We start from the raw sequence: 13,394 nt of genomic DNA, 5'->3' as shown, positions 1-13,394 counted from the left end.
TGAATAGGTATCTGTGAGATTATGCGTTTCTGTAGGTGGATACATTTGTGATTGCACTCAAGCTGAGCCTGGGATTTTGTGACTCAAATGTAGTCCAGAGAAAGCGGCAGGAAGACACAAAGGGTGAGTGTTGAGTGAATAGGTGTTTGTGAGATTATGTGTTTCTGTGGGTGGATATGTTTGCGATTTCAGGCATCCTATTCTCATGCACACTCCTCCACCGTCAGCATACTTAACGGACCACACCAAGAAAAACACAGCTCCGTTCACTTTGTCATAGATGCTCCGGCAGGCGTGGGCTGTTAAAACAGGAGTTTGGGAACTTTGGGCCCTGGGTGTTTTTTCAGCTTTCACCCATCGTTTTGAACTGGGACGAGCGAGGGTTTAAGGGGAAAAGTGCTGAACACCAGCACAGCAATACCACACATTGGCTTCTGTGGTCTGAGAACAGCAGCAGGAATTCACCCCGTGATTGGTGGCTCTTTCCCACCTCAGCAAAGCGCAGGGCTGCTGCTGCCCAGCGTGTGAAATCTAAGCCAGGCGCTGACCCACCGCTGGAATGAAAACTCAAACCTGCACAGCCTCTCGGCTTTGTGGCTGTCTTTCCTGCTCATGGTGGCAATCAGAAGTCTGTTCCCAGTTAGGGAGCAGAACCTCAACTGATAAGAGAGATGGGAAGAGAATTTCAAAAATCTCATAGGAAAACCTCCTCCTAGAAAGTTAAAGTGGGGTGGCGGGAGGTTGCTAAGTGAGAACATTGGGGGTTATTTTGGGGTGGACAGACACCAGATCACCAGGGTGGTGAGTATGGAAATGTCACTGTCACCTACCATCCCATCCCCCTCCATGGACAGTGGCCTTTCAAAGTATTTGGCCAGTGAGTCATCAGAAAGATGCTATTTTTTCATTTTGGAAAAACACCGTATCACAGCAGGACATTTTGCTGTTATCTGTTCTCCCAAGAAATACAGTGGTGGGGGAGGACCCAACCCCTTCGAAATTAAAGCCATATGCATACCATATTAAAAAAAATAACCCACCCAGGCCATTCCATTATTGCTGACCATAGGAATTCAGTATTTATAATTTACATTCTTTCCCATACTTTGCTGTTTTTCAGACGTGAAAAGTAGAGGTTTATGGCCTCATCAGATTGTAAATCACATTCCTGAGGGCAGAGGGAGCTGCTACAGGGGAGAGAAATTGCCTTCCAACAGTTTGCAGAATGCGTCAAAACATTGGGAAAAGAATCCACGTGGAGTATGGGGACCCTGTTCAAGAGCTGGCATCTCGACTGATTTCAGGCCACAGAAACACAGGGATGTCAAGGCCGGAGTCTGCCTACTCACAGGACACAAAAGACAACGAAGGCCAACACCAGTTATTCTGTCCACAGAGCACGCAACCAGCCAACCACCCCTGGAGCCACCTGAAGAGTGGCTTGGAGGTGTGGCCATCTCTAATCAAGCAAGCACCTGAGATCTGAGTCTCCTTCCAAGGAGGAGGAGGAGGAGCAAAGGTGTGGCGGTCACCAGGGAACCAGCTCCTTGCCATCCATTTGCCAGCTCTGAGGCCAGTGAGGATCTATGGGGCTGTGGTCTGCTGATAGGAGTAAGACATGTGCACAAGAATCCAGGGGAGGAGCCTGGCACAGAGTCTCAGGCTGTGTTGCTCCGGTGGCCCCCGGGCACCTCCTGGCCGTGTGCTCTATGTGCAAGCTTGTGTTACTGTGGCTGCTGGGAGGATTCAGGGACGAGAGGGAAGGGGTGCGGAGAGCCCCACACGGGGGTGTTTTGAAGGCTCCAATCCTCTGAATGCCACTGTCTGGAAGTCATGTTAGCAGTGGCCCTAGTGAACTCTTATTCCCCTGCTCCTGGTCTGGATTTCATCCACTCTAAGAGAGGTGGAGGATCCCTAACATTTTGAAAGCTGAAGATCTTTCTTAAGCCTTTCCCACGCTGCACTCATAAAATACCTAATCAGTCCATGACGTATGCAGTTGGAGAGATGAGATTGAGCCCAAACAGCCCTTTGTCGGGCGGGTGGGAACAGTCAGGCTTACAGCCCGGATTTCCAGTATGGATTGTTACATAAACCTTGCCTGCAATTTGACTCTGTAATGAAAGCTATTGTGTGTATACTTCAGACACGATAATGAAATATTTTGGTTTTTTTAGTCTCAAATGTTAGAAAACCAATTTTCTTTTAAAGGCAGACAAACTTCATTTCCTGTGGTTTGTAAAACCACAAGAGTCTCCTTTACTCAGCATCCAGAAAGGGGCCACACCCTACAATGGAACACCAGGCTCTGACGCCCTGGGATGACTGCTCCGAGGGGCAGGAGGTCACAGCTCTGAGCAAATCTTCCTGCCACCGCAGGGCACTGTCGGTGCCCACAGTTTGCAGACCCTGGCCAGGGTGATGTCTTGAGCATTCCAGTAACAAAGAAAAACCAGCAATTAACTCCCAGGCACAAGTACGAGCGTGAGCCCAGATCACTTAAAGAGGCTGGGTGGTTGGTTGCATCAGCTGTGAAAGCAAAACCCTTGGGTAAATTCTATGTTCTGAATGATGTTACTGTCCTCACTGGGGTTACGAGAGGGGAAGGGATCTGCCAACACCCTTCTCTCTGCTCCAAGAGGACAACAATGCTGGGGCTTAGGAGTCCCTTTTGCTAGAAATGCAGGCAGGAAGCTTGCTGTCACCCGCCTCCCCAGCTGGGTGTACTGAATATGGAGGTAGAGACCAGGCTTCAACCAGAGTATTATGAGTATCAGAGTATCATGAGGGATAAATTCAGCTTAGCCCTGTGAGGCCTTGGAGGTACTTGGACATGTTGCAAACCCTTGAACACTGTTAGACTGTGACAACAAATATCTCTTTGCAGGACAAGCAACTTCAAAATTCCACCTAACAAGCTGCAAGAAAGGGAATATCAGAGTAGACCAAGTCACAGATGAACTTTCTGAAATGGACTAAAGGCATTTTTTAGTGAACATGGAAGAAAAGGAAGATTTTTACAACGTAGCATTCCCACAACCTAAAAAAATTTCACATCCAACTGTTTTTTTATCTTCTTTGGTAGACATCAATGAAATAATTCCTTTAAATTCACAGAAGATAGCAAAATTAAAAAGCCATATTTATTTAATGCATCAAATACCAAAGTTCAATTAAGGAAACTATTGCAATCTTCACCTGAGATAGGCCCATCATCAGGTTAGAATAAAGTGTGATAAGGGGAAATGTTGTAAAAACCTCTTACGGCATAGCAACATGACTGCAGCCCACCAGTCTCAGCCATTACTGATACTGACCCTTGCAAAGAATCAAATCTCTAATATAATCCTGAGAATGTGCACACACATGTGAAGGAAAGAGGTGTATTATGTAATGGAACACTGATAGACAGACGTCTTAGCTCGCCTTACAGTTTTTTTTTTTTTTTTTTTTTTTTTTTGAGATAGTCTCGCTCTGTCGCCCAGGTTAGAGAGTGCGGTGGCGTGATCTCGGCTCACTGGAACCTCCACCTCCTGGGTTCAAGCATTTCTTCTGTCTCTGTCTCCCGAGTAGCTGGGACTACAGGTGCCTGCCACCATGCCCGGCTAATTTAAGTATTTTCAGCAGAGACAGGGTTTCACCATATTGGTCAGGCTGGTCTCAAACTCCTGACCTCAGGCGATCCACCCACCTCAGCCTCCCAAAGTGCTGGGATTACAGGCGTGAGCCCTGCGCCCGGCCAGCTCTCCTTACATCTTGATTTCAATCCTATAAATGGGAAATGGTAGGGAGCACTGTCTAGTCTACTGTGGGATTTCTAGTTGTCATAACAATAAGAACCATATAAACAACGCCCACCTGGTAAACATTAGGGTGGCCCAGGAACTCTGCAGCAGTCACTGAGCACATTCCAAAGAGCGGATGTTAACCCCCCAACCCCGTATTTTAAAGGGCTAGCTTCAGTCTGGCTGCCAATGGTTACATTTTTTCTTCCCCACCTTGTGTTTAGCCTCCCCTTCTGTGTCCAACCTCCTCCACTTCTCAATGACCCCAAGGGCCTCTGTAAGTGCAGGATTCTACCCAAAACCCTCCCAATTCCAAAGGGTGGGCCTTGGCATAAAGAGGCATCATTCCAGGGTGCTACACGGTGGCTTCTGAGGGAAGACCAAGAAGGCTGAACCTGTTGTATTTGGTAATGAATTTTGTTTTCTCCTGGGTTGGGTGAGCACCTTAGGAGCTTACTGTGGAAGCAGAGTCCTAGCGAAAATAAGACTGGCATTGATAGGATGTCTTGTATCATCAAAATGCTTAACAGGTCCATGAAACATCCTAGCATTGCTGTGAGAGTGGTTCCAAGGTTTCTATGAATGGTGGAAACAGACACAAACGAAATGTGGGAAGAAGCTTTGGGAAGACCAAGAATGAAAAAAAGGGAAAAGAACCTAACACTCAATGCAATGCTACTTAAGGAGAAAAATACATAAACCGTTCTTCAAGCTTTAGGTCCAAAACAATGTTCTCTCTTAAGAGGGTGGTTTGCAAACAGGGACCATGAGATAATTTACAATCAAATCATTTCAGATATTGAATGATGATTCTGAAACACGCATTCTATTTCCATCAATGTGAGGTTTATTTCCATAGAAACGGTGAAAAAAGTAGGCCAAACCCAGCAGTATGGCTTCTAAAAGGAATAGCAGCTGTGGTTCTGGCCAGCCATGGAAAGCACTGGTTTTGTAACTACTATAGTAAAGAGCTCTGACTGAAGGGAAATAGAAAGTTTCAACTCAAAGAAAGGGCATGGAAAGTATCTGAGAACTTTCCTGGCTGTTTCTTACAAAGCCATGGAGAAAAAATCATCTCCTGTGCACCCTGCTCTTCACAATGCCACAGTAAAGTCGAATTCACCACCTGCGAAACAGCTGCCTCCTGTAGGCTGGCCTCAGAGGAAGCACACATGCTCCATCAGTTGCAACAAGGCGAAAGTCAGAAGAGTGTGAAAGTGTCAGGCCCAGTGCTCCCGGAAAATGAACCCGGAAACACTCAGTGAGGCACCACCGGTGTGAGAAAGAAGAGACAGGTGTCTTCTCCAATGGGCACAAGTATGTCATGCTTAGAAAAGCAGAACACAGGATGAAACAAAACATATTTATTTGCAAAGAAAGATCATGTTTAAATTGTACCTGTGTTTAAAAATGGCCTCTTTGATGGGTTATAAAAGTGCAGGCAGGTTTTATGAAACACGCACTTTGCCTCTCTTCTATCCTTTTGTGGGAAGCAGGCAGATGCTGGCTGGAGGACATTTGAGAGCTCGGAGCTGAGGCTCATCACAGCCAAATCCCTCACTCACCAAGTGAGCGGAGCTGCCACTGACGCTTCTCCACTCCCGCAGAATCTACTATTGAGCACTGGGCCCCCTGAGGACAGGATGTGACCCTGGCTGGCATGATTCATTCAACCCGTTCATCTTGGAATTCTTTTGCAGAAAAAAAAAAAGTGACACTTCTATGGCTAAAGATTTCCTTAAAGAAGAAGAAACATCAGAACGAACCTTTGTGCTGTGTGAAATGAGGGAACAAAAGATTACTTTCAGTGAGTTGATATCTGTAAGCTAATCAACTGGGTACTGGCCTCTTGTTAGAGGAAAAAAAAGTCCAACTTGGAAACCATTACCACAGGAAAAAACAATGACTATGTTGTTCATTCCTGTTGGTCACTTGGGTAGTCTAAGAAGTAGGACATATATGTCTGTAAGCCCTTTAAAATACACATCTTTTCTTTTTTCTTCTCACTATGTAAAACACATATATATTATCCTAAAGTCACTTGAAAAACACAGACTGCTTACAATCAATAGAAGATACCAGTAAGATGCAAGAAAATGAGCATTTTACAGACAGACCTTTGATAGGCTTTAAAGTGAATCGTTTTTATTTAAAACAGGGATCCATCAGAGGTGGTGAACTATCAAGGTCAAGGTTCTAGAGCATGGCACAGATGAAAGGTAATACTCACCAGCACCTCACATGGGACTCAGTGACAATGTCAGCAACACACCATGGAAGGAGAACAAACCCGATGTAAAAGGCACCTAGCTGGGGAGAAGCTGTGGTGTTCACTGCCTCTCTAGCAGGTTTGCTTTTGTGCACTGTGGCTAAGTCTGGATGAATAATATTGGGAAGGGAATAATCGGAAGCGAGGCTCCTATGCAGGCAGCTACCCTCTCCTGATTGGTGTATACTCGCCATGTGGTAGGAGGTCTTACAGGAGACTGAGGTTACCAAACAGGAATACAACACCTCTCTCCCTTTTCTGCTCTAGAAGGAAGGGGAACCCTTCCCCCAGTATCAATTTCAGCAGCGGCTTCTAAAGGCTGTTAAAAAGCATCCTAACTTAAAAACAAATAACAACAGTAACCAAATAAAAGACAGAAAAGTGGCCTGAACTTAAATCAATCAATGGAAAGGTAGATTCATAAAAATAAAATAAAAACTGGTGACCAGTCCATTAACCATGGGGTTAATGCCTCGTCTGAAGGAAGATGTTTACGCTGCATCCACGATCCAGCAGGCGCGGAGCTGCTCTTGGCAACTGTGAATGAATAGCTACCGTTTCCCTTCAACACACCGCGCTGCCACCGGTGACCGCATGTCAAGTGCTGAAGTTAGAAGAGACCCCACGTTGGCAAAGGCCCCCCAGGCGATGATCTGCCTGACGCGGCCAGGTCTGTGGGAAACAAGACTTACGATCTCAAATAATGACCCCCAAGTGCCCTCGCCTCTTCCTGCTTGCCCTGTGCGCCTCGACCTCCTCACGGGGAGTTCCAAATGAGTTCCATTTCCCTCTCAGTTCTAGGCACTCTGGAACATCTTTGATTAACCAGGGTTTTTCATTTCTTTCCAACGCCATTGGTGACTTTTGACTTGGAATGCCGATTCCTTCTCCTGGAAGAATGGCTTTCGTTGTTGCCTGCATGCTTGGGTGGGCTGTCTTCAGAACCTGGCCAAAGGAATCAGAGCACACCGTCACCCTGGGCTCTGGAGATTGGTGACTGTCCCTTTCCAGACCGCCCTAGGCTTGCCGGGGAACAGGTTCTTCCCTGATACGTGCACTCCCCCTAGTGGCCTCATTCATAAATGAAGGCGAGGCTCTCAAACACAGAACTAGTACTGAAGGAGCACACGCGGTGGCGCGGGGTTCAACGCAATAGCGCCCCAAAGTCTGGGTGGTTCCTGAAGCGTGTGTACATCTGTCCTGTGTATGATGGACATGGTCATGATGGTGAGGACCAGAAGTGAGAGCACAAGTGAAACGGAAGCCCAAACGAGGGGCAATTAAAACACACACCACGCGGTGCCCATCCTGCCCTGCAACCAAGGGTTTCCATCCCTTCACCTGCTCCACACCACCTTCTAAACCCGACATCAGGAAAGACTCTTGACACTATAAAATCAGAGCTATTTCACACCCTCTACATTTGATCTGGAGAACATCTTTACAATTCAGGCCCCTGCTGCCCACGATGGAGGGCACTGGGCAGCCTCTGCCCTCCAGCTGAGCCTTTGTTCAGCCCCTGCCTGGCCTAGCGGCCAAGCCAAAGGGTTCTCTGCCCCAGGGCTCTGATCCAGCCCCATAGGAAATCTCCACCTGAGGCTGCCAACAAAAAAAAAGTTACCAGAGTTACAGTCTCCACTGTAAGGAGCATTTGACTTAGACTAAGAGATTCTTTCCCCACTCAGAAGACTTCTGTTTTTGTTATTTTTCTTTTTTTATTATTCCATCAAGTAAATACATCTCTACTACTGCTTAATTCTCTTCAGTGGAGAACCTGTAAGTGCCAAGGTTGTTTGTAAGGGCATGGTTCTAAATAAGATAGCTGGGGAGCCCCTCTGTCCATCTCTATCAGATTTCACAACGGGCCGCTCACTGATCAATTCCGTGGTTCAGGAGAAACTTTCCCCAAAAGGGCGGCCAGCAGCTCAGCAGAGTGTATGTTAGTGTCTCCCCTGGGAGATCTTTAATGAGCCTGATGCCAAAAGAACTTAGGAGAATGACTGCAACAGGGCGCTTTCTTCTCCATTGGCCCACCGTTTCTCTGAGCAATTTTGTGAGCTAAAATTCAGTCTTTAGTATTTCTAATTTTCTTTCTTCAGCCAAGCTTCCCAAGTAGCTTATAAGGATTGACGAGGAATTACTGTCCAATGAAATCACCTCAATGTCATTATTCTACAAGTCTAATTCTTTGAAATAACCAGGTGGCCCCAAATATTCCCAAAGTGATCCTTAGAGGCCAGTGGAGGTTCCCTAACTACACGACCAAAATCTCTTACACTGCCCTGCCTCTTGAATAAATGCCATTAAAATGATCCCCCTCTTTTGAAAGGCTTTTCCTCCTGATACACAGTACCTTTTTTTTTTTTTTTTTTTTTTTTTTTTTTAAGAGGCAGGGACTTGTTCTGTCTTCCACATGGGAGTGATCCTGGGCTCAAGTGACCCTCCTATCTCTGACTCCTGACTAGCTGTAACTACAGGCATGTGCCACCACATCTGGCTAATTTTTTAAGATTTTTGTAGAGACAGGGTCTTGCTCTGTTGCCCATGCTGGTCTCAAATACCTGGCCTCAAATGATCCTGCCATGGCATCCCAAAGCGCTGGGGTTACAGGCGTGAGCCACTGTGCCTGGCCGGATATACAGTTCTTCCTGTTCACTCATGATGGAAGCCAAGAGGAAGAACGTTCCCATCAGGGTGCTTGAAATGGTGTGGGGCCCTCACGAAGGGCAGAGCTACATGGAGCCTCTTCTTACAAACCAAGTCTTTCACTCAGATCCTGTGAGCATTTTGCATGTTTCTTTTTCTTTTCTTTTCTTTTTTTTTTTTTGAGACAGAGTCTTACTCTGCTGCCGAGACTGGAGTGCCGTGGTTTTGAGACAGAGTCTTACTCTGCTGCCCAGGCTGGAGTGCAGTGGTACGATCTTGGCTCATGGCAACCTCCGCCTTCCAGGTTCATGCGATTCTCCTGGCTCAGCGTCCTGAGTAGCTGGGACTACAGGCGCCCGCCACCACACCTGGCTAATTTCTGTATTTTTTGTAGAGACGGGGGTGTCACCATGTTGGCCAGGCTGGTCTCGAACTCCTGATCTCAAGTGATCTGCCCACCTCAGCCTCCCAAAGTGTTAGGATTACAGGCGTGAGCCACCGTGCCCAGCCATTGCATGTTTCTTAATAAGTGACAGGAGACATTCAATGGGTAGGCCTGAGACCCTTCAAGGCTTATATCATCTCCACTCAAAGAATAGGTAATAATTCCACATCTCAAGGACCCAGTAAAATTTTAAACAACGAACAAGAACAAGATACCTTTTGTCCCTTTCCTGTGATGCCAGGAGATCTCTGGACTGTAGGTGCCATCTTCACACTCCGAGTAGGTCTAGGGAGAGAGACAGGCTTAGTGCAGGAATTTTAGGAACTCCCTGGGAGAAGTGGCAGGGCAAAAAGGCGAGCATGCTGCATCCCTGCCTCTCCCAGGCTGGGATCATCACTGGCAAGTGACAGAACCTCCCTGTGCTTATATTTCTCTGCTATAAAAACAAGGTTCTTTCCTCTCACAGGTGATGCAGAATCAATCTTCCACAACATGCCTTAAGTTCTTTAGACTGAAGGTGTAAATAAAGGATGAAAGTGTTATTTTTACCGAAAAAAATATTACCGTCTACCAGACGGCCATCGTGTCTTAAAGCCATTCATGTCTATTTTCTATGGTATCCTCATATCTACTAAATGAAGGTCAGGGCAAGCGTTTGCCCAGAAGAGCCACAGGCCGGAACACAGGAAGAGGCCTCCACACAGTTCAAGAGCTGGGGAGAAAACCCAGCTTCCAAAAGCCAGTCCACAGCTTTCCCATCACTTTTCTTTTTTTCTCCAAACAAACATAACTTTTTTTATCTAACAAAAGTTAGACAAAAATATTGGTCTACTGAACAGAGCCGTCACAAGCAGGGCCAGCAATGGCTAGGGAATGAGTTGTGACATGCGGTTTCTGCAGTGGCAGGACTGGAGGCCCCAACCTCAGTGTTTACCTCGCCATATCCTTACAGGCACGTGCTCTGAGCGAATTTGCCGAGCCCGGGGTGATTATTTTAAACAATGGCCATGCCTGCCTCTCCTTCCATACCTTTTCTCGGTGACCATAGTGTTCTGCATACCAAATCATGCCGTACAGACAGAGGAAAGTGGTGAAAGCCTGGAAGAGAAAAACAAATGATGCTGCACAAAAAAGTTCAATTTCCCAGAACTTCAGGGTTTCAGTGGGAATCAATGCAGGACCGTTCAATGCATTTCTGCCGTCTGGACGCCGGTTACAAAACGGCTGGACGTGGCAGAGATCAGACCTCAAGGGGAGGGTGCACACCCAAAGCTTCTGACAACAAAGGTTATGATGAGACCACAGTTACTACCTGTGACTCTACTATCAGAAAGCAAGAAAGACAATTTTCAGATGTGCAATATGGTGGGATGCATTTTCTTGATAGCTTTGCGGGTTCTGTTGAAGAAGATAGAGAGGATTCTATGTTCTAGTTCTGATTTTCAGGGTCCATTCTCTCCCGGCTTCCCCATCACAGGAGAGCGCTAAGAGGACTCAGTGTGTCAGCTTCTAGGGGGAAGAGGTCACAGCGGCACCTGAGGGCCCACGGACAAACACTCCCAGGGTAGAGGGTGGGGAGCTTAGCTGGACAGGGCTGCCCTTGCTTTTCCAGGCTTTTGAGTGGACCCCAGTTTTTATTGCTTTGTTTTTCTTGGTTATATGGATAGGAAAACAAAGAGAAAATAAAGATGCTCTTAAGGCCCTGAGTGGAATGAGGAGGGTGTGGCCTGTGGGTGCCCAGAGGCAGGGACAACCTCTACTCCACACTTGCCCCACTCACTGGGCCTGCCCCCACACCCTAAATTATACCCTAATTTAAGGAAAGAAAAGCACAGACAAGAATCCAAAGTTTCAAAACATGTCAAAAAATCAAAGCTTAGGAAAAGTCTCCAGCTGCCTGGACTGCATACCAAAGGCAGGAGGGAGGGAGGGTGAGCGGTAGAGCAGGGCCATGAATCTCCCCGGCCACACCTTCCCCACTGCAAGCAAAGCAACCAGAACAAAACAAGGCAACTGCCAGCTCCTTCCAAATTCCTCACTCTAGAAACCCATTCACATCAAGCCATCCTGGCTGTTGAGCCTCCATCTCTCCCCCTGCATTTCCTGTGGACACCTGGGCACCTGTCATTTTCCTGGACCCCTCTCATCTTGCACCAACTGTGGGGACAGCTGTGAGAGCATGGAGGGACCTTCTCAAGGAAATAATTTTAGTTCTAAGAATCATAACTTTAGATCCAAAAGGTCACCTCAGAGACCATTAATTTCATTGCCCCTCATTTTCCAGAAGAAGAATGAAAGCTCAGAGAGGTGAACATTGGAGCCGGAACTCAGATCTCTTGAAACCCCCGGATCTGGGTTTAAGGGATGGCTACTGATACAAATATTGGCTTTATGTCTATATAGCTTTATTTCTCCATCCATGTATCCATCCCTGAGAACGAAAAGCATCATGGGAACAGTGAACAGCAGCAGCTTCTCCTCTGCACAGCCACAGTCTGGTGGTAGGGCGGGAAGGCAGGGGCTGTGAATTCTCATCATGGCAGCTTGCAGTCGAGCTTTGGCCCAGTTCCTTTATCAGCGACATTTCCTGGCAGCTGCTGGATACACAGTGCCTTCTTAGTTCCAAAAAAGAAAGGAGAGCAACACTCTGGCTAGCTGTCCTCTTCCGTGCCAGTTACGTGGAAGCAGGAACAGTGGCAGCGTGGAGAGAGAGTGAGAAGCACAAGCAGCGCCACTGGTTCATTTCCTACTAAACCCACGTGCAAACTGGCATATACCTACAGGTTAGGGATTTATTAAAAAGCTCATATCCATCAAAAAATTAGGCCACGAATGAATACATTAAAACTACAAAGTGAAAATGACTTCCAACCTTTAACATACTCTAATGCTTGCCCAGATTTCTTAGATATACCAACGTTAAGTGTGCCATTTTCATGGCATGGAAAGAGTGGGAAGGACTAGAAATGATTTGCAGAGTGTAAGCCTGTGTATGCGTTAGGCCCCTTACAAAGAGCAAAACAGAACATTCTGGGTTTCACACAGCGGACTGGGGGGGTTAGGTTCCACCTCCCCAAACGAGAGGGCTGTGGGGAGGCGGGTCCCTCAACTAGACTGTCATTGCAAACTCTGACCACCAGAGGGCAGGCACGCGGGGCTCTTCCCTTCCCCAGCCCCAGGCCCAATATGACAGGCAGTGGCAGCTGCCGCTCCCTCCAGCGGCAAACAGCAGGCAAGTGGAGAACGACAGGTGCTTATCATCACAATCGTCACACAAAGGGTCTGTTGTGATTGCCAAATCTACTTCACCTGCGTACAAAGAGGCCCATTTTACACTTGTCCCAGCAAACGGAAGCCGGTAATTTACAGGTTTGCAATCACACCTGTGGAAATCTAGGCACGTACCCACTGAAAATGTCAAGGCTCAGATTTAAAATAGCAATTGCACACTTCGTTTAAAGAAAGGGCGGGGGGGCGAGAAGAAACTACGTGGGATGAGAGCCAGGCTGTCCAGGACCACGGGGCTGGCGGCAAGGAGGGCGCAGGACCCCAGCTTGGCTTCTACATTATGGTAATGAGCATTCAAATTAATGACGGCCGAGCAGACAACCACGCTCCTGGAAAAGCTTATTAACCAGCACCCGGGATCTTTGCTTCTGCATTAATCTCAAGCTCCGTGTGCGCTCTCTTACCAGGCCAGGGGAGTAATTAGGGGCTTTGCTTTTCTGAGTGGGGCAGAAGGCATGGTGTAACTTGAAGCTCTCTTATTGAATAATGTTCGCCTCTACTCCTGAGTCTGCGATCAATCTTGCTCTTTATAATAAAGGTCAGGAATATTTTAAAAAGTGCCAGGACCTTGTTTCTGTTCTTCTTTAAAGGGAGGCAGTGGAGACCCCTAATCATCCTGTCTCAGGGCCTCTTTTCGGGCGACGTCCCTCTCTCATGTCTCATCCTGTAAGTCTAATCAGAGATTCTGCCTGTCTTCAAAATCCTGCTCATCGTCCCCGGCCTGACCTCTTATTAAGGTATCCCAGCCTCAGTCAGCTCCTCTCCCAGAGGCATGTTCCCTGAGCTCTTAACCTAATCCCAGGACTCCAACTGCACCCTCCACATGGGCTCCTCCCAAGTATTTTATTTCCACCAACGACCAAATCCTTCCAGTGTTATTGACAGATTAGAATTTCCCATAAAACAGGACACTTCCACCTGTAAATTCTAAAGGTTCCTCAAACCCAAATCCCCTGAACCA

At 47.1% G+C, this 13,394-nt stretch overlaps 1 protein-coding gene across 2 annotated transcripts in view, besides 3 other annotated features; it reads right to left on the bottom strand.

Moving 5' to 3' along the window:
- Positions 428 to 928: an enhancer, noted in NCBI's record as "H3K27ac hESC enhancer chr8:97351756-97352256 (GRCh37/hg19 assembly coordinates)". NCBI's record gives its function as "activates a minimal SCP1, AML or CMV promoter by ChIP-STARR-seq in naive H9 embryonic stem cells {active_cell/tissue: H9 hESC(naive)}" and the evidence as "EXISTENCE:reporter gene assay evidence [ECO:0000049][PMID:30033119]".
- Positions 3,461 to 13,394, bottom strand: part of PTDSS1 (phosphatidylserine synthase 1) — a 75,094-nt gene continuing 65,160 nt past the window's right edge. For both annotated transcript variants that reach the window (NM_014754.3, NM_001290225.2), the window contains 3 exons: positions 10,175 to 10,243; positions 9,361 to 9,430; positions 3,461 to 6,999 (listed from right to left, as the gene is read on the bottom strand). In NM_014754.3, coding sequence (NP_055569.1) covers positions 6,890 to 6,999; positions 9,361 to 9,430; positions 10,175 to 10,243 — 249 coding nt within the window. In that variant the 3' untranslated portion in view covers positions 3,461 to 6,889. The remainder of the gene's footprint in view (positions 7,000 to 9,360; positions 9,431 to 10,174; positions 10,244 to 13,394) is intronic.
- Positions 12,104 to 12,639: an enhancer, noted in NCBI's record as "OCT4-NANOG-H3K4me1 hESC enhancer chr8:97340045-97340580 (GRCh37/hg19 assembly coordinates)". NCBI's record gives its function as "activates a minimal SCP1, AML or CMV promoter by ChIP-STARR-seq in naive H9 embryonic stem cells {active_cell/tissue: H9 hESC(naive)}" and the evidence as "EXISTENCE:reporter gene assay evidence [ECO:0000049][PMID:30033119]".
- Positions 12,640 to 13,175: an enhancer, noted in NCBI's record as "OCT4-NANOG-H3K4me1 hESC enhancer chr8:97339509-97340044 (GRCh37/hg19 assembly coordinates)". NCBI's record gives its function as "activates a minimal SCP1, AML or CMV promoter by ChIP-STARR-seq in primed H9 embryonic stem cells {active_cell/tissue: H9 hESC(primed)}" and the evidence as "EXISTENCE:reporter gene assay evidence [ECO:0000049][PMID:30033119]".

Source organism: Homo sapiens, chromosome 8 (genome assembly GCF_000001405.40).
Source record: "Homo sapiens chromosome 8, GRCh38.p14 Primary Assembly".
NCBI lineage: Eukaryota > Metazoa > Chordata > Mammalia > Primates > Hominidae > Homo > Homo sapiens.
This window is presented reverse-complemented; position numbering and strand designations above follow the sequence as displayed.